This window comes from Homo sapiens, chromosome 17 (assembly GCF_000001405.40).
Source record: "Homo sapiens chromosome 17, GRCh38.p14 Primary Assembly".
Lineage (NCBI taxonomy): Eukaryota > Metazoa > Chordata > Mammalia > Primates > Hominidae > Homo > Homo sapiens.
The window spans coordinates 78,671,242-78,691,210 of record NC_000017.11 but is presented as its reverse complement, the minus strand read 5'-3'; the positions used below and the strand labels follow the sequence as shown (position 1 = coordinate 78,691,210).

Here is a 19,969-nt window from a genome sequence, read left to right as displayed (position 1 = left end):
AAGGGAATTCTGGCCGGGATTTCATATGTTGTAGGGGCTCAGCTCATGCCCTGCAAGTTCTGCACTGGCTTTGCTTTTCTGTTGTTATAGTCTTTTCATATGAGAGTAATACACTTCAAATATCTGCAAAATAATAAAAAGAAAGCTGCTTTCTGCTTCACCCCCAAAGTACCACTGTGAACATCTTGGTACAATTTTTTCTGTTTTGTTCACCCTTCTGCCCTATATTTTGCCTTTTTTCTGAAGACACCTACACTAACGATGTCTTTAACATCGTGTCTGAATTTGTCTCGCTATTTTCTGGGTCAAAATGATACATAAGCATCTAAGTGGTGTACTTCTAAGTCCTGGACAATCCTATAGCAATGCTACGAGATTCTAGAATCTTGTGGTTTTTCGTGATGCCCACCGTAGTGGTGTCACCTTAATCCTTAATTCAGCAATATTTATTCAGCAAAGTGTAGCATTTTATCAAGCAATGGAAATACAGAGAAAAATACTTTTTTTTTTTTGAGACGGAGTCTCGCTCTGTCTCCCAGGCTGGAGTGTAGTGGTGGTGTGATCTTAGCTCACTGCAACCTCTGCCTCCTGGGTTCAAGTGATTCTCCCATCTCAGCCTCCTGAGTAGCTGGGACTAGAGGCGTGCGCCACCACATCCGTTTTTTTTTGTTTTGTTTTCTGTTTTTTAAGTAGAGATGGGATGGGGTTTCACCATGTTGGCCAGGCTGGTCTTGAACTCCTGACCTCAGGTGATCTGCACCCAGCAGTAAATACATTTCTTTTTTTTTTTTTTTTTTTTTTTTTTTTTTTTTTTTTTGAGATGGAGTCTCGCTCTGTTGCCCAGGCTGGAGTGCAGTGGCACGATCTCGGCTCACTGCAAGCTCCGCCTCCCGGGCTCACGCCATTCTCCTGCCTCGGCCTCCGGAGTAGCTGGGACTACAGGCGCTGCTGCCACGCCCAGCTAATTTTTTGTATTTTTAGTAGAGACGGGGTTTCACTGTGTTAGTCAGGATGGTCTCGATCTCCTGATCTTGTGATCCGCCCATCTCAGCCTTCCAAAGTGCTGAATACATTTCTTAAGACACAGAGAGGATGCTGTCAGAATTAAGATGGTAGATTGAAACTTCCACACAGAATTACCTAACAGAGCAAAAGACTAGTAAAAAAATAAGTAGGGAAAAATAGCAACCAAGCAGGGGAAGGGGCAGAACGAATTCAGTGCACTGCAGCCCTGGGCAGCAGCGGAAGCAGCGGTGGCAGGGGCAGCAGTCAGGAGCAGTGTGCAGGGTTTCTACCTCACGGCCCAGGATTTGAGGAGACCCGGCAGTCTCGCTGGTTTCTCAGGTCTGGGAGGAGGCAAACTGAACAGGACTTGTTATTTTTTCCTCCCTGATCAAGGAGTAGTAAAATCCCCTGCTGGGTGGACATTGGTGAAATGGGAAAAGTGAAAAAAGCAGCCGTTATAGACATAAGTAAAGGCTCAAGACTGTATATTCACTGGGGAAGACTGTCCATGGAGGGTCTCCCATGAGCATGATATCCATCCCCAAATACAGGGGTCCTCAACCTCAGGCCATAGGACGGTACCAGTCTGTGGCCTGTTACGAGCCAGGCCACACAGCGGGAGGTGAGTGGCAGGCGAGCGGTGGAAGCTTCATCTGTATTTACAGCCAGCTGCTCCCCATCACTCACATCACCTCCTGAGCTCCACATCCTGTCAGATCAGTGGCGGCGTTAGATTCTCATAGGAGCACGAACCCTATTGTAAATTGTATGGGCCAGAGATCTAGGTTGTGCACTCCTCCTGAGAATCTAATGCCTGATGATCTGAGGTGGAGCTGAGGCAGTGATGCTAGTGCTGGGGAGCAGCTGCAAGTACAGATGAATGTTAGCAGAGAGGTTTGACTCCACAGAGACCATAATAATACATCAGTTGCTTGCAGACTCATCAGAACTCTATCAGTGAGTGGCAAGTGACAATTAGCCTGCCTCTGGTGGCAGGCTTTATAGTGGCAAGTGAGCTGATGTACTTCAATTGTACAGCTGTATCTGGTGGCAGGCTTTAAGTCAGAATCCAACACTTATTTCAGTCCGTGCATGGCCTGCCCGTTATTTTATTTACCACTGCCATCCACATCTCTTTCCCACACTGTGTACTTGTCTCAGCCATGGTTTTGGTAAGCCCATCCACCAACCCTAGCCAAAATGAGTAAAAACCAAACGTCACTGGAGAGCTTCTTTGAAAAGGGGGAGAGACCCATTGATGAGACAGCAGAACACGCCAAGACTGCCAACAAAAATAAAGCTGCATTGTAAAGAAAACGCCAAGAGTTCTACTCAAATTCTAGGTTCATTTCAACAGGTGATCACATTCGCCAAGCCCACTTTGTAGAATATGTGGTGACCAACTACCCAACAAAGCCATGAAAGCTTCAAAACTGCCTCACCGCATGGAGACCAAGCACCCTGCATCAAAAGACAAGCCTTTGGAGTTTTCAAAAGAAAAAAATGTAAACATCAAGAACAGAAGCAATTATTGAAGGCCACCACTTCATCAAATATGTCTGCGCTGAAAGCATCATTCTTCGTGTCTAACCGCATTGCCAAAGCCAGGACTGGCTGTTGGTGAAGAGTTGATCCTGCCTGCTGCTAAGGACATTTGTCATGCGCTTTTAGGAGAGGCTGTGGTTCAAAAGGTGGCACATGTTGCTCTTTCGGCCAGCACCGTAACTAGGCAGATTGATGAAACAGCAGCAGATATTGAGGCACAATTGTTAGAGAGGATTAACGAGTCACTCTGGTACTCAATCCAGGTTGACGAGTCTACCGATGTTGACAACAAGACAACAATGCTTGTTCTTCTGTGACATATTTTTCAGGGGGATGTTCATGAGGATATGTTATGTGTGCTTTAGTTGCCAACCAACACCACGGCTGCTATTCAAGTCTTTGAATTATTACATATCAGGGAAACTGAACTGTTTTGTTTTGTGGTGTTATATGCATGGATGGAGCGGCTGCCGTGACTGGACAGCTTTCTGGTTTCACTACTCAGGTCAAAGAGGTCACTTCTAAATGTGAGTCTATGCAGTATGTCATCCATAGAGAAGTGCTGGCTAGCCAAAAAGTGTCACCTGAACTTAACAACATTTATGCAGGATGCGATTGAAATTACCAACCACATTAAAGTACATGGCCTAACTCAGGTCTGTTCATGCAGCCCTCGGAGGAGATGGACGCAGAGCACACACGGCTTCTGTGATACACAGAGTGAGACGCTCTCTAAAGGCACATCACTGGCCAGAGTTTCTGAGTTGCAACAGCCACTTCAGAGATTTCTTCTAGAAAAAGTCACCACTAGCAGCACATTTCAGTGACACAGAATATAGGTCAGGAAACTTGTGTACTTGTGTGACAGATTAAACCTACTCACAAACTCAATCTGTCACTTCAGGGGAGAGTGACAAGTGTGTCCCAGTCGGCAGATCAAGTGGCTGCTTTCAAAGCCAAACTGGAATTACAGGGGTGATGAGTGAACACTGGGATTTCTGACATGTTTCAAACATTAGAGAGATTGTGAGAGACGGAGCCAGGGCCTTCTTTGCCCCAGCGCCTCAGCTTTCAGAAGAGCTTGAGCGATACTTCCCAACCACAAAAGAACCTGAACTGGAAAGGAATGGATCTGTGACCCATTTGAGAATAAGCCAGGTGAATCACCTTGGCCAATGCTAGAAGAAGATCAACTGCTTGAGATCGCAAATGACAGTGGCCTTAAAAGTACGTTTGAGACAACTTCAAATCTCCATATGTTCTGGATTAAAGTTGAGGCAGAATATCCTGAGATTGCCCCAAAAGCACTGAAAGCCTGCTTCCACGCCCAACATCCTGTCTTTGTGAAGCAGTGTTTTCTGCAGTGACAGCAGCCAAAGAGTGATTACAGAGTAGACTGGACACAAGCAACACATGTTGGGTGTCACTGTCTCCCATCAGCCCCAGATGGGACTATCTAGTTGCAGGAAAACAAGCTCAGGGCTCCCATTGATTCTACATCATGGTGAGTTGTATAATTATTTCATTATATATTACAGTATAATAACAATAGAAATAAAGTGTACAATAAATGTAATGTAGGCTGGGCGCGGTGGCTCACTCCTGTAATCCCAGCACTTTGGGAGGCCAAGGTGGGCAGATCACCTGAGGTTGGGAGTTCGAGACCAGCCTGACCAACATGGAGAAACCCCGTCTCTACTAAAAATAAAAAATCAGCCAAGTGTGGTGGCACATGCCTGTAATCCCAGCTACCAGGGAGGCTGTGGCAGGAGAATCGCTTGAACCCAGGAGGCGGAGGTTGCGGTGAGCCAAGATCTCGCCATTGCACTCCAGCCTGGGCAACAAAAGCAAAACTGTGCCCCCCAAAATAAAAATAAATAAATTAATTAACTTAAAAAAATGTAATGTGCTCGAATCATCCCGAACCATCTTCCCTCCCCTGCCTTTGTCCGTGGAAAAATTGTCTTCCATGAAACCAGTTCCTGGTACCAAAAAGGCTGGGGACTGCTGCCCAGATAGATGGAGCAAACCCTGACGTTGGATACTTACAATCCGAGAGGAAAGACCAGAACTCGGGGAGTATCTTCGATGAGCTCTCCCACCACTCACCATTCTCTACGAGACTGCATAATATGCTAGAATGCAGAACACCTGGCCGCCCACCACAGGTCAGGGTAAGTGGTTAGGGGGACACAAGCAGATCAGAGATTCACAGGAGGAGAACCAGGGGTCACTCACAGATTTACCAGAGCCAGCTGGAAGGCCAGAAAAGCAAGGTTTCCGTCTTCAAACAAGTGAGAACCCAAGCAATAGCATATACTTACAGTGCAACCATTAATATATAATCATAGAATTATAACTTATTTATTCTTAAAGGTAAGTTAAAACTTTAAGGAGTGGAACAAATTAGCTGAAAATATAATCATGTCCTATAAATATAATGTCTTAAACGCTTGAGCCAATCACAGAGATTATATCTGAAAAAGACAAGTATTAAAACAATGAGAGAAAAGCTAGCAGATGCAGAGAACAGAAGACGATCCCAATAATACCAGAGTAATTGGTGTCTGCAGAATCAAAGATACAGTGTGGCATGAGGTGATTTCCCTGAGAAAGAGGAAAAAGCCCTGAATCTGCAAATCAAAGAAGACACCGTATTTCAGGAAACTGTTACAGAAAGGGTCGCTCCAAAGCCTGGCCCCTTAGACCATTGAACTTGGAGCCAAGTGTCTGGTCGTTCTGTTGGAAAAAGCAGATCATCTCCAGCAGCTTTTAGTCCCAGAAATTAAAGTATCAAGGTCTGCACAGTTTTGAAGAGAAGAATGACCCAAGACCCTTTATCCAGCCACGTTATTGTTTAAGTAAAGCACAGCTGGCCGCACTCTCCTGAAGAAAACATGTGAAATGCGGCACTTTGGAACCTTCTTGAAAAAAAAATTGCTTGACAGTAACATCCAGCACGTAAGAGAATGAATCACAAGAAAGGCCCTGGGAAGTAAAAGACTGGTAGTGAGCATTGAACTATTCATTTAAATACAGAACTAATACTTAAATATACAACTAATACTAAAATATGCTTAAGTTCAGAATACGAAAATATACTTAAGTATGGAACTAATACCAAAATATACTTAAGTATAGAACTAATAGCTAAATATACTCATATAGAAGTAATAGCTAAATAAACTTAAATATAGAGCTAATACTAAAATATGCTTAAATATAAAACAAATACTAATTAACCAGAAATTGTGGCTGCAGGACGTACCATGAATGTTATAAACCTGGACAATGTAAAAGTGAAATAATAAAAATCAGGAGGTGGGAGGAGGAACAATGTGAAGAATTAGAAGATTTTGTACTTTTTAAAATGCAGAGTCAAGAAATATTGTTAAAATGGAAGCATGTTGTATTTTTTAAAAGAATAAGTAAAACCTTTTTTTTTTTTTTTTTTTTTGAGACAGAGTCTTGCTCTGTCACCCAGGCTGGAGTCCAGTGGCACGATCTTGCAGTGGCTCACTGCAACCTCCGCCTCCCGGATTCAAGAAATTCTCCTGCCTCATCCTCCTGAGTAGCTGGGATTACAGGCACGTGCCACCACATGCGGCTAATTTTTGTATTTTTAGTAGAGATGGGGTTTCACCATGTTGGTCAGGCTGGTCTCAAACTCCTGACCTCGTGATCTGCCCGCCTCAGCCTCCCAAAGTGCTGGGATTACAGGCGTGAGCCACCATGCCTGGTCAGACCTCTTAATGTTTTCATAAACTTCTTTGTCTTAACTTGAATAAGGTTATTTCAGGAACTCTTGTGGTAAAGAAACATTTACTTTGAAGTTCAACAATTCTTCAGTTTCTGCTTCCTTTTTTCCCCCTGTTAAATTCTAAACAATTAAAATAGAATGTGTTTTATGAAAATAATACCACTCGAAATATCCCATTTTCATAAAACCTGTTTTTCTCCATCTCTCTGCACACACACAAAATATCTTCACCTAATGTCAGCAATGATAATTTAGGAGTGATTGGATTTGGAGTATTTTTAAACCTTTCACCTGTATTCTTTTCTACAATATTTAGTTCTTTATAATAAGCAATTCGTATTTTTACAGCAACAGTGATTGTTCTTAAAGACAAATTTAAAAAGCCAAAGACGTTGGCCTCGGTTATTTCCCTCTTCACAGGGGAAGGGAGTGGTTATTGGGCACACACAAGTCATCACTGAGGGGTGCAGCCTGCCTGTTATTAGGCCTGCCAGAGTCCAGTGAAAGTTCTAGGCAGGGGCCTTTTTAATATTTGGGATTTTACATTGCTGCCCAGCAGCTTAACGTTTAGTTGTTTCCATCAGTGGTTCTCATTCTTCTTTCACTCCAGCACTGAGGGATAGCGTGAGCACCTGTCTGCGATGCTGGCTCACTCAAGCCAATTCTCAAGTGGCAGGATGAGTGTGCTGAGAAGAGCGAGGAGGGCCACGCTCTGCAGGATGGAGCAGGAAAGAGGGGGGGCCAGGAAGGATACCAGAATCCCCAGTGGGTTCTCCCGGTGACCAGGAGGGTCTTCTTATAACCTGGTCCCCACTCCCAGGCTGAAGAGCATGGGTGTAAATCATCTTGGTTTAAAATCATATTCCATCAAGAATGTGCATCATGCATATGTAACCTGGATGCCGCAGGCCTCACCAGTCAAAGAGTATACATTATGTCACATACTTATTGAGGTCCAAAGTGTGATTACTCTTAGACCACCCACCTGCTCGCCTGGTGATGCCTCAACCCAGTTAACCCAGCGGAATCCTCAAAAGGTGCAGGCACCAATTAAACCCTAGAAGTGAGAATGGGGAGGGTAAAAACCAGAAGCAGAATTGGCTGAGAACTGTTTAGGAAACAGACCAGCTGTTGCCCTCACCTCATGCCCCTGAGGGCCTGTCCCCACCACCCAGGCAGAAGTCTGAGTGCTCGCTCACAGGAGAGACTGACCAAGCATTTCTGGATGAGGGACTCTAGGCCCAGTTGAAGGTGGGGGCATTTTCCCCAGACAGGAGTGTGGGGTAAATGCAGCCTTCTCGAATGCTGAGGACTTCTCCCACCCCCAGCTTCTCCTCACTCAGCTCTCAGAACCACAGGTAGCCAGGTCTGTAGCTTGCAGACAGAGTGGGAAACTTCTCTGCCCAAGAAGAGATGCGTGAGGTTATTTAGTCAGATTCCCCAGCAGACAGCCTAGTGAGAGGGCCCTTGTAGATGGTCACAGTGCACAGGCTTCAGGTCCCAGTCAGCTCTTAGTCTTCCACTCTTCAAATGGGACAACCAAGGAGTCCCAGATACCTGAGGAATTCCTGCCGGCTGAGAGCAGGTAGAGACCAAAGCAGCCGAACAGCCAAAGAGCAACTTGGATGAGAGAGAGGGAGGGGTCCAGGAAGAAGAAGGGTCCACCACCAGCTGTGAAGAGACTCAGCCGTCTCAGGTGACATCACAGCTGCGAAACAAGAACAGGATCCTGTATGAAGCCACGGAACAAAAATAATAAAAAAAAATCCTCCTGGAAATTCAAAGCATGGTAGAAGTGAAAACTCAATGGAAAAGTTGGAAGAAAAGCATTAAGAAAATCTCCCAGAAAGAATAAAAAGGCAGAGGGAAAATAATAAAGGAAAGACTTTTATTTTCCAAAGAAGAACTAGTCCAGGAGGTCTAGCATGTTCCAGAGAAGCTGAGAAAACAAAGAGGGGGTAACCCTTGACAAAATAATTTTTTTAAACCTCCCCCAAACGATGGATGTGTTTCCAGGTTGGAAGGCTTACTGAATACCCTGCATGATGACTGAAAATGAATGCACGCCAAGGCTGCCTCCTTAGGGGGCCTCAGAACACTGAGGACACAGAGGACGGCAGTCGTGTGCAAAGCACCAGCAACCAGAACAGCTTTGTGTAGGGTGATATTGAATGCTGAAGGCAGGAATGCTGGGCTTCCCAGTCTTGGAGGAGGGTCACGTCCAGCCTAGACTGTTAGGCACAGCCAGATAGCAGCCAGGTGTGAGGGTCCAATAGAAACATTCTTAGCCAAGTGAGATTTCAGAAATGTTACCACCCACACACCCTTTCTCAGGATGCTGGTGGAGGACAAAGGCCTTGGCTGTAGGAAACCAGAGATCTTGAAACCTCTTGTTTCAAGAGAGGAGGGAAGAGTGCTCTGGAATGGAGAGTGCTGAGGTTAAGGATGAAGCAGTTTACCGAGTATCAAGGCAACCAGTCCAGACTGGAACAGGTTTCAGAGGCTCCAGGAAGGATTACTTCAAGAAATGAAAATTAATAGGATGCCTGATACAAATTAGCATTAGCAAGGAGATTTTGATAAGAGGTTAACCATTTGCAATTGGTTTTGGTGGTAAGGTCACAGAAATATAAATCAAAGGAACAACCCACTTCTCCACCCTCCATAATTTTGGTTCCAGTGGGGAAGGAAGCTTTTCAGGAAGGAAAAAATTAGGAAGTTCACTATATGGCACAGGTCGGAAGAGAAACGTGGTGTTAATGAAGACACTGTGTATAGCCCTACCTCAGATGACCAGATAGTTATTTTAGGAGGACGGGGAATATGAATATGCCCGGGTAAGAGGAGCTCAGTCCTCTTCTGTAGATAACATCTAAAATCAAGCAGTCAAAAGGCAGTTCTAATATGGTATTTTGGAGATGTGTGAGATACAGAGGTAAAGACCAAGCAGGTTGGCTTGAAGAAGTTGGAAATAGTTGCTAGCCAGGATGGGGAAATGGCTGAAAGACTCTTTTTCGCTTTTAGAGAACTCATAGAACTGGTTGGTTTTTTTTTTTTTTTTTTGAGACAGAGTCTTGCTCTGTCACCCAGGCTGGAGTGCAGTGGCGCTATCTGGGCCCACTGCAGGCTCCGTCTCCTGGGTTCACACCATTCTCCTGGCCAAATATAAAGACTTTAACAGTGCTAGGACTTGGCCATGGGTTGGCTGGATATCAGGGGACTGTGAAACTGCCGTCAGGCGTGTGCTGGAAGTGTCTGCGGTGCCGTGCCCTCTGTAGATGAGATGGGACTAGTTGGCGGGTGCAGCTCTGTTCTGGACAGGAGTCAAGGTGCCTTTGGAAATCCAGGTGGAGTTGTCAGGATGGCAGTGTCTCTGAGGATTGTACTGTCTGGCGGTGGGGCGATGGACAGAGGCAGTGAGTGGTTAATGGTCAGACCCACAGCTGCAGTCCCAGGCATCGGGGCGCTAGGGTGAAACTAGGAAAGGCTTCCTGGAGTTGTTGCCCCAGAACTGAGGCTTCAGAGGTGAGTGGGAGAGCCAGGCAAAGGGAAGAGGGAAAGGGGCCCGCACACTCCCTGCTTGAGGACCGTGCCCGGGTCACTGCCGGCCACACTCTCACGGTGTCTGTTGAATCTTCTGGTCTTTCTACTCGCGGAGGACTTAGCAGTTATATTGACAATCCTCAGACATTTTTGGTGTTATTCTTGTTTAGAATGTAAGGAGTTCCCTCAGGCTGATTTATGAACTTCATGTCCTGGGAGAAAGCAGGAAAGTTCGGCTGAGTCACCGGCGAGGAATCTGACAGTGTGTGTCCTTAAACTGTGATCTTAAACTTCCTCTCTTCAACTGTTCTGTAGGATAAGGAGCCCCGTGGAATCATCCCTTTAGAGAATCTGAGTATCCGGGAAGTGGAGGACTCCAAAAAACCAGTGAGTATTTTTGCTGAGATATTTTGAGGGGAGAAAGGGGATGGGCATTTCAAAGATTTTTTTTAAAAAACTCAAAACCAAAAAACTGAAAAGCGTGATCAGGCTTTTATTTAGTCTAATTTTTTATTATATTGTTCAAGCCAAAGATGAGACTCGAAATCACTTCTTCCTGTGCCGTCTGTCTGCTTTATCGTTTCACTTAGTGAATGTCACATGGGGTGTAGAAGTTGCCCCTCCTGCAATGGCAGCGGCAAGCACGCAGGAGTGGGCTATGTAGTTTATACCCTTGGGACACCTCCCGTTTAGTTTTCCTTTGTTTTGGGCTGTCAGGATGTTACTGGCTTGAAGTTAAAGTCGTGAGTCACCTGCAGTTCTCTCCGCATTTTACGTACATTGCAAGTGGGGCCAGCTTATATCAGGCCGGTGTGTTTGCAAACGAGACTGACTTCTATACAATTTACAGTCTCTAGAATTCCGCTTCTAGGCTTCACTTTTCCACAGGAAAATATGTATTCCTTGTATTTTGTGAAGGTCAGAAGAAAGGGGTTTTGGGGAAAGAAATCAGCATGTTTCTCAGTTAACAGCTTCCTTTGCTCCACTCTCTCCCTCTCTGTTTTGATTCTCAGAACTGCTTTGAGCTTTATATCCCCGACAATAAAGACCAAGTTATCAAGGCCTGCAAGACCGAGGCTGACGGGCGGGTGGTGGAGGGGAACCACACTGTTTACCGGATCTCAGCTCCGACGCCCGAGGAGAAGGAGGAGTGGATTAAGTGCATTAAGTAAGTGACTGCTGAGAAAGGGCAGTGCGCGCCTGGTGCAGCCCTCACCTCACCAGGTGTTGATCATCTTAGTGGTTAAACATGCCGCCCGCATCTCTTCTGTGCTCCAAGTTCTTAGGGAAGCTTCGTCCTGGTTCCCAGCTGACGGCTTCCCAGGAGGCCTTTGGATTCTTGGCTATTATAGCATATGTAAGAGAGCACGTCCCATCTGGGTTCCCCACGTGTCCTCATAGACCCAAAATAGGAAGAGGCGAGTGAGCTACCCACACAGATGCCATCTGCTCAACTGGTCTTTCTGTGTCTGACGAAGCCGCTCTCATTCTCATAGTGACAGCTCAGAGGAGATAGTAGTCATGTTCTGTAATTTGTGAATCCTGTGAGACACCATTTTCCTAGCTACAGATGAGGAAACTGAGGCCCATAGAGGTTAAGAAATTTGCTGGAAGTCACATACCGTGATCCAAGGTCCGGGAGGAGGGAGAAGCTTCCTCAGGGTTCCACAGCTAAGAAGTGGAGCTCCCAAGTCCAGGCCTCTGACTCCTACCTCTCGGCTCTGTTGGCTCCACTGGGCCACGCCATGTAAGGTCTATCACGGGGCTGGAAATTTCCTCATGTGACAAGTATCTGGAAACATGGCTTTCTAAAGTCAGTTGGCTTCTCTTGCTTAATGTTCTTCCCTGGGACTTGGTCTGCCTGGCTCTCCCTCCAGTCCCTGTGCGAGGGTCAGCAGTGAGCATTCTGACTTTGCCTTCTCTCAGTGATGCTTTCTCCTCCCTCCAGTCCCTGTGCGAGGGTCAGCAGTGAGCATTCTGACTTTGCCTTCTCTCAGTGATCCTTTCTCCTAAGAGCACAGCCTTGCCCTCTCCCTCCTGGTGCTTCATCCATGAGAGTTCACCTAGCTGTTTTCCTGAGAAAGACTCCTCAGCTGCCTGTGTGACTTCACCTGGAAGACAGGGAGAATGTGCCCACAGGTGACTGCGAAGGTCCCTGTAAGTCCTCTGTGTACTGTGTGACGGGCTTTCTCCCACCCAGGCTACAGCCCCGTTCCCGAGGGTGTGCAATATCCTCTAGCCTTTGTTTTATCTTTTGGTATTTCTACTCAGACCAGTGTAGGTTTTGGCCCAAGCTAAATACCTTAAAACTGACTGAAGATGGAGATGATGTGATGATGGAGGGAAAGGAATAGATGATTTATCCTCTCAAAAGTAATCTGAAAATTCATGCAATGAAAACAGACAGGAACCAGCTGGAGAGAGGATGGATTTGGCGCCAGGTCACGCTGCGCTGAGACTCCTCGCTCTGTCTCTCTGAGCGCAGTGCCTGGTAGGTGGGTAACCTACCTCTTCTGTGTGATAGAGGTCATTTCTGCCTCATGGGGCTCTTTTGAGGATTAAATGAGATTGTGTAGTGGGCATGGGGTTTGGCAGCTTCCCTGGCATGACAGCCATCATGGGAAGTGTGGCCCTGAGCGGGGGCCAGCCCACCCTCCATTGAGCAGACGCGGTGCCACGGTGTTTTCAGAGTCCCCTACCAGTAATGGCACCAGCCCTGTGTTCTGGGGAAGAAAACAGCAGTGTTGTGGGGGACCGGTATCCTTTTTTTTAACATACTGAAAAAAAAATTTATTGAATCATTATGAAATGTATTTTTTATATAAGATTTGAAGTAAGGGTTTAAGTTTGTTCTCATGAATGAATAGCTGATGGTCCGGACACCATTTATGGATTCATTGGCATCGCCCCCACTGACTTCATATGCTCTCCTTAGAGTGTACCCAGCTCCCCCACCACGCTTCATGCACCTGTTGCTCCACCGCGCCTCCCAGCGTGAGCGCCGCCCGCCCCTCCCCCTGTGGCATCGTGGTGTCCTTTGACTGTGCTGGCTGGCGAGTTCCCTGTCCTCCCTCACTGGTCTTTCAAAACAGTTTTGGCTGGTTTTGTACATGTGTCTTTCATATGGTTTTTACTTCTATAGTCAGAAAAACTAAGCATTTTTCAAAGTCACATTTAGAATCATTCAATCCTTTCATGAGCGTGAGTGCCAAGTTCTCCTGTGGGCTTGCTGGACTCCTCTGCTCTGTCCCGGAGCGGGCTGGCCTCAGCCTCGGGATCTGCAGACACCCCCTTTGGCACTCTGCAGGCACACTGTCCTCAAACCTTCTTGCACCCAGTGCGAGGTGGGACCATTAGGATTATCCCCATTTCACAGATGAGGGACACTGAGGCACAGCAAAGTTGAGTAAGTTGTCCAAAACCCCACAGAGGTGGAGCTGGTCCTCAAACCTGAGCAGTGTGACTCATGCAGCTGCACTGGTAACCACCGTGCAGCCTCAGCTGTCCTTGGCCCTAGATACTCCTCCCAGTGGAAACATTGGTGACAACAGGAGCAGGAAGATGATCTGGCTGGTGGATGCCTCCTCCCCAGTATTGCCAGAAAGGCTTTCGAGGTCAAGTTCAGGACGTGTTTTCCTCTCACGAAGTGCTTTTCCTGGAGTTCCCAGCACCCTCAGTTCTAGTGCCCCTGCGTGTGGGTGGTCCCAGCATTCGGTTCTGTAGAATCAGGTGTGTTCTCTAATGCTGGGACTTTCTTCACGCTGTACCCAGAGGTACAGCAGTAGAACTGCGTGTCAGCGGTAACAGCGGCTGCCATCGAGTGTGTCGGCTAGGCGCTGAGATGTGCTCTTTGAATATGGGATCTCTTTTTGACTCTCCGGAACCCAGGGAGGTGGAGGTGGGGCATCTCCAGCTTGCATGTGAGGAAGCGGGAGTTGAGAAGCAGCAGGCAGGGCCAGGCAGGGCCGGGCCTGGGGCCTGGTGTCCGACCGCAGCCCAGCCCCCCTCATCGCCTGACACTCTGCCTCTGCACACAGGGCAGTGCCACACGCACCTCTCTGCAGAACCCCCCAGCTTACCCGAAAGGGTTGGCCTACCCAGGAAGCCAAGGGAGATTCACCCCAACACCTCCAAACATGAAAGCAGGTGTCCCGGCCGCCAGATTCCCTCGTGAAAGCACTTCAGGTGGTCAGACCGCTTCCCAGTGAGATCCCATCGGGACATGTTTCTAGTGCTCTTCAGTTCCTAGCATTCCCCGGGGAGCTGCGGAAGCATTTTCTCATGGACACACTGTCTCTTGTGAATAGGTTCCAGGTCAGCCCAGGAGAGCCATAGCAGCTGCTGGTGCCACCGTTCAGCAGGGGTGAGTGCCCTGCCTGCAGTCAGGAGGCTTGTGCCCGAGCTCTGGAACAAATCATCACTTAGGATACAGCTTCCCTGGAAAGAAATTAAGTGTCAGGACTTTTAGACCATAAGTTGCTTGAAAGTCGAGAATGGCAGACATAGGGTTGTGGTGTTGCCAGTCCACTGCAGGTGCTCCAGCCCGCGGCGCGGCCTGCGCTGCTGTCTTTGAGGCTGTAGCACAAGCATGAGCTCGGGCCCCCTCCCTGTGCACCGGAGACCCAGCCAGGTCCAGCCGGTCTGTCCATGGTGCCCCACCAGCAGCATCGTGCTGGGCAGTGCCGCCTGCAGAGTCATGGAGCCTTAGTTACTGAGCAGGTGCACGTGGGGGGCTTGGAAGGCCCCACTGCATTACCATGCCAGCTATCACACACCCCGTGCCAGAGGACTGCATGTGACACGGCTTGATTACGTGGCACTCGCTGCTGCAAAGCAAAGTCAGATGTCATCATGGAAACTCAAGCACCAGTCTTTTTCTCTGAATTGGAATATAGCTGTAAGAATGTGGTATGATTCTGTTCCTAAATGTGAATTGATTATTATGTTGAAACAGGTAAAAACCCCAAAATTTTCTTGTCACGTGTTCCTGTGTCTCTTTCGAAGTGTGTCACCTTAGGTCACTGTGTGGACACAGCAAGGGTGGAGGACGCTAACTTGGCCTTTGCAGTGATGGTGGGGTGGGACAGGTGTTCTGGGGCACGAGGGGCCCCTGAGAATCCCCTGCCTGGGTGTGTTTCTTCTGATTCTGTCCCTCACGTCTCTGTTTTCTCCCTTTTCTGTGCTCCAGAGCAGCCATCAGCAGGGACCCTTTCTACGAAATGCTCGCAGCACGGAAAAAGAAGGTCTCCTCCACGAAGCGACACTGAGCGTGCAGCCAAGGGCGTTGGTCTGCGGGGGCCTTGGAGCTCCTGCTCTTCTCCCGCACCTCCATGGATGCACTGCTGCCGAGCAGAGCGTCCTCTGCCAGGCCCCGCCCTGGATTCCTAGAGACTAGCTTCAGCTTTTGCTATTTTTTTTAAGTGGGAGAAGGGTGGGCAGTTATCACTGGGGAAGAGAGGACCGGCCACCTGTCCAGCATGGGCTCCAGAGCCTTCCTCTCTCACAGGGCAGAGCTCTTGTCGGCAGGGCAGCCTCCTGGCCAGTTTCTCTGCTCAGTGTTCTGGTAGCAGAGCTCAGAGCCAACTGTTTACCTCTTGGTTGTCCCCGTGAAGAAGCCTTCAAACCCTGCACCATAAATACATGTGTCCATATATTATTATATGTTAAGAGAAAAAGGTGGAAAGGAAGAGAAGCCACATACTATAAAGATCTATTTTTTTTTTTTTAAGAGAGAACGTAGGGCTGTTCAGGTGCATTCTGCCCTGGCTGCGCTGGGGAGCTTCTCCCTGGAGAAGAGCACCTGGGGCTGCGGCCAAGGGGCATCAGCCTGGGCCCGCGGCAGGGCCTGGCCTGCCTCTCCTGTGCTGTGGGAGCTCGCTGCCTGGTGCTTGTCTGGGCGAGATGGACAGGTGAGGTCGAGGACGCAGAGGGCAGAGGCCCAGTGGAGCCTCAGACGGCACAGTCAGAGTCGGGGGCCTGCCCTGGCCGGGGTCGCAGTCGGCAGCAGCGTGCAGTCCGGCATCTCCCGCGGATGCTTTTCCATCCCAAGTGCCTGCGGAGCGCCGAGGAGAGGAGAGAGCTGACTGGACGCTTACGTTATTTTCCTCCTTCAGAATCCAAGTTCTTGTTGGGCTTTAAAGTAGAAAGTCAGCATTTTCCTTGAGCTAAATACCTAATAACCAAAACTGTGAGGAAGGTTATCGGGACAGAGGTTCCGGATAACCTGTTTCATTTTGGGTTTTCTTCCTCTTCCCCAGACTCCAGTCCTCGTTCTAGAGGAAGGAGTAGGACTTCCCCGATCCCCGTAGGGCTTCAGCTTTTTCTGCCTCAAAACCAGCCCTAACTGGACTACTCTGGATGCATTTTGTGGTGGGCCCCCTAGAGGGGAAGATGGGCCTTTATCTGCTCCGTGGGGTGCACTGGAGTGAGGGGGGTGGCCGGGCTGCCTCTCGCATCTCTGTCTTCCCCTGCAGGCGCTGTGTGAGCTGGCCCTGCCCCTCCTCATTACAGTATGAAGGGAGCCGTGACACGCAGCATTTTCCTGCCGTTCTCTCAGGGACTCTCAGGGCAGCTCCTGCCACTCCGCCAGGGCCAGCATGCCAGTCCAGGCAGAGCAGGTGGCTGGCTGTCTGGCCGTCTCGCCCCGCCCCTCCACAGGACCCTGGACCAGGGCGGTGCAGGGCGCAGCCCTGAGGAGGCAGGTGGAGGAGCTGCGGGTTTTCACAGGGCCGCGTCGCCACGGCTCCTCTGATCCTTTAGGGTTGGCGAGCATCTCTGGAAATAGCTTTTGCAGAGGAGTGGTGGGAGGAATAGAGGGGGACAGTCTGTCACCTCCCTCCCCGCCACTTTGTGTAGATCCTACCTGGAGGGAATGGCTTTAGGCACTTTTGTGCCAGAGCTTGTGAGGGTGACAGAAGAGGGTCCAGGCTGGAAACCTGAACTTTCTGGGTGGGAGAACCAGGTGGTGCCTGCCGAGGTCTGGGCGTGTTTGGGCCGGTGCTGGAGCCTGTCCAGCTGGCCCGGGCCCTGGCCTGGTTCTCAAGTGTTTCCTAGACAGAGAGGCACCTGGGTCAGTATTAGTCTATTTATCAGAGGTGTAAATAATCTATGTATAGTTTTTCTCCTTTTAGATTATTTTGTATTTGTTTAAAAGAAGTTTTGTCAAAATACAAAAATATAAAGAAATGACTGAAAGTTGTTGACAGGGTTTTTAAGAAATAATTATTCTAATTGTTTTTGTTTGTTTGTTTTTGCCTTGTAAACTAGCGCCAAGGAACTGCAGCAAATAAACTCCAACTCTGCCCAAGCCATCTTTGTTGTTCGCGGTGTCTCTGGGCTCAGGCGGGGCCCTCGAGGTGGGAAAGGGGTGCTGACCGGACACTTGTGCAGGAGGGTGTTACTCCAGCTGCACCTTGAGTTCAGTTGTAACACCTTGAAAGTGGGAGGAGGGTTCTGTCTTCTGTTAAGAAGAGCAGAGTCAGAAAAGATAAGTAACTTAGTCTTTGCACCGCCCCCACTTTTTTAGAAGAAACGTGAAACATCAGTTTTAAATTAAGATCAAGAAATATGCCTTCAGTCAATATAATACATTTTTAGTATGATTTCAGTTTCCAGAGATGACTTCATAATGCCAGGGAATAAACAGGGAAAAGTCTCAGGTGGGCTAGAACCCAGAAGCAGGGGAAGGCGCTTGGTGAACCAGCACCGAACAGAGAGACAGCAAAGCACCAGGCTGGCCCCTTCTGTGGGTCCATCTCCACGGGCTGGTCCGCGTTCTTCCACACAGCAGCAGTCATGCCTGATGTTTCCTCCTTGCTTCAAGCCCCCAGTCTACCCTGACCATTCCCCAGGTGACTGCCCCACTTTACTGAGAAGAGACGACCATTAGGTGTGAAGGGCAGCATTCCTACCTTTCCACATCAGTCAGAGTTGTTTTTGTTCCCTCCCATCGCCAGAAGAAGTGGCCTGCTTTTTTCCTGTCTCCCCTGGATCCATCTCTGTCAATTATCCTTTGTCTTATACATATCCCCAGTTTCTTTCCCCATTAATTTCTTTCCCTCAAACCACAGAAACGCCCATCTCATTTGAAAACTCCCTAAGCTCAGGAACAAGACAGAGATGTCCACTCTTACCACTTCTATTCAGCATTGTACTGGAGGTTCTAGTCAGGGCAATTAGGCAAGAAATGAAAGGCATCCAGATAGGAAAGAAGAGAGATTACATTTATTGGCTGGTAACATGACTTCATAATGCCTAGCTGAGCCATGGGAACGGGGCCACTCCCAAGGCTCCAGAACTGTGGGACCACCAGCTTGCCGCCCCAGCCGGGAGAGCTGTATGTAGGCACTAGATGCCATCCTGTGACAGCTGCGGCATGGGCAGAACCCAGCACAGGGTGGGGCTGCTCCTGGCCTTGGGGGATCACATTAAGATGAGTCAGAGATCATTCTGGAGTCTTAAGATTTAATGTCTGCCCTATTGGGTTTCAGACTTACTTGGGATTGGTTATTCTTTCCTTCTTGCCCTTTTTTCCCTTTTGGAATGGGAATGTCTATCTCATGCCTGTCCCCCAGTGTATTTTGGAAGTGCATAACTTGTTAAATTTCGAGGCTCTCAGCTGGAGGGGATTTGCCTCAGGATGAATTGTTCCTTGAGTCTCACTCATATCTGATCTAGAGGAGACTCTGGACTTTGGACTTTTGAATTGGTGCTGGAGCAAGTTAGGACTTTTGGGGCAGTCGGGATGGAATGAATGCGTTTTGTACTGAGACTGGCGAGTGTGGGGGAACCAGTGGCAGAAAGCTACAGTGTGAATATCTGTTCCCTCCAAAACTCATGTTGAAATGTAACTGCCATTGTTACAGTATGAAAAGGTAGGACCTTTAAGAGGTGTTTAGCTGAACTAAGGAAAAATCCTGCAATAGTAATACATCCACGAAGTTATTAAAACGCCAATAAAATCCATTTGAGAACAGTTCATCACCCCAAAGCACACCCTGTCTACTCATCAGCAGCCTCTCCTCCTCTTCCCCTGGTCCCGGGCAGTCCTAATGGTTCTGTCTATGCACTTGCCTCTTCTGGGCATTTCATACAAATGGAATCATACACTACATGGGCCTTCGCGTTTGGCTTCTTTCACTTAGCGTTACGTTTACACGACTCATCCCTGTAGCGTGTGTCAGAGCCTCATTCCCCTTTATGCCCAGATAACATTCATCGTATGGAGACCACGTTGTTATTCATTCATCTATGGGCGTTTGGGTTGCTTCCGCCTCTTGGCTGTTAGGAGGCCTGCTGCTGCTGCCTTTCTCTGCAGTTGTTTGTGTGGTTGCAGGACTGTAGAAAGTAAAAAGTTTCCTCTTCAAAGTTTCCCTTCTTATTAAAGAATAAATCATAAGTGTTAGAAATAATAGTTTCTTTTAAAGACTAACTTCCTTCAAGCCTCCTTGCTTTGTGCTAATAACTCTTTGTTAAGCCCTATCCTAGGTAGCTGTTAGACATGCTCAAGGCACGTAGTACATTCCATGTCCTTGTACCTTAACCAAGATATCTGTGCTCACGTGCTCATAGGCATGTTCCAGCTCACAGCCTATGCTCCTTCCTTATTTGAGAATAAATTATTAGCCAATCGGGTTTTAATTTAGATTGTGAGGTCCGGCTCCAGCCAATGGAGACAGGACACAGCAATAGAGGCCTCATGCATATAGAATGGATATTCTGGCGTCTCTTTATTCTGTGTGTGCCCTCCCCATTGTTCCATCTGCAAGGGACACCCTTTCTGCAGAAAGTAAAAATTGCCTCGCTGAGAGAACTTTTTGTCTGAATGCTAATTTTTCCTTGTGACACCAGGGAACAAACATTTTGCATTGCTAACAGGGACTCCGACAGTTCCTCGTTGCATCTATGTCCTCACTTTCGTTCACTCCTCAGCCAGGGGTCCCCCTCCTCTCTCCTCTTGGCTCTGGTGGATTAGTCTACCTGGGCTCTCCTACCTCTCTGACAGCTCCCTGTGCGTTCTTTCCCTGGCCTCTCCTCTCTGCCCACCCGCCAGCTGCTGGACATCCCCCAGGATTCTAGCCCCCAGTGTTCCTAAGCCCTCTTCCTTGACAGATAATC

General features: G+C 48.1%; 1 protein-coding gene across 21 annotated transcripts in view, besides 3 other annotated features; it reads left to right on the top strand.

The window, feature by feature from the left end:
* CYTH1 (cytohesin 1) overlaps positions 1 to 17,163 on the top strand; it is a 108,226-nt gene extending 91,063 nt beyond the window's left edge. For 16 of the 21 annotated variants that reach the window (NM_017456.4, NM_004762.6, NM_001365038.2 and 13 more), the window contains 3 exons: positions 10,169 to 10,240; positions 10,867 to 11,021; positions 15,042 to 17,163. In NM_017456.4, the coding sequence (NP_059430.2) occupies positions 10,169 to 10,240; positions 10,867 to 11,021; positions 15,042 to 15,120 (306 nt within the window). In that variant the 3' untranslated portion in view covers positions 15,121 to 17,163. Of the gene's footprint in view, positions 1 to 10,168; positions 10,241 to 10,866 lie in introns of all 21 variants that reach the window. The other 5 variants (XM_011525475.4, XM_047437078.1, NM_001394677.1 and 2 more) reach the window with 3 other exon arrangements.
* Positions 14,009 to 14,508: an enhancer, noted in NCBI's record as "H3K4me1 hESC enhancer chr17:76672785-76673284 (GRCh37/hg19 assembly coordinates)". NCBI's record gives its function as "activates a minimal SCP1, AML or CMV promoter by ChIP-STARR-seq in naive H9 embryonic stem cells {active_cell/tissue: H9 hESC(naive)}" and the evidence as "EXISTENCE:reporter gene assay evidence [ECO:0000049][PMID:30033119]".
* Positions 14,509 to 15,010: an enhancer, noted in NCBI's record as "H3K4me1 hESC enhancer chr17:76672283-76672784 (GRCh37/hg19 assembly coordinates)". NCBI's record gives its function as "activates a minimal SCP1, AML or CMV promoter by ChIP-STARR-seq in naive H9 embryonic stem cells {active_cell/tissue: H9 hESC(naive)}" and the evidence as "EXISTENCE:reporter gene assay evidence [ECO:0000049][PMID:30033119]".
* Positions 15,274 to 16,152: an enhancer, noted in NCBI's record as "H3K27ac-H3K4me1 hESC enhancer chr17:76671141-76672019 (GRCh37/hg19 assembly coordinates)". NCBI's record gives its function as "activates a minimal SCP1, AML or CMV promoter by ChIP-STARR-seq in naive H9 embryonic stem cells {active_cell/tissue: H9 hESC(naive)}" and the evidence as "EXISTENCE:reporter gene assay evidence [ECO:0000049][PMID:30033119]".
* Positions 17,164 to 19,969: the final 2,806 nt, after the last annotated feature.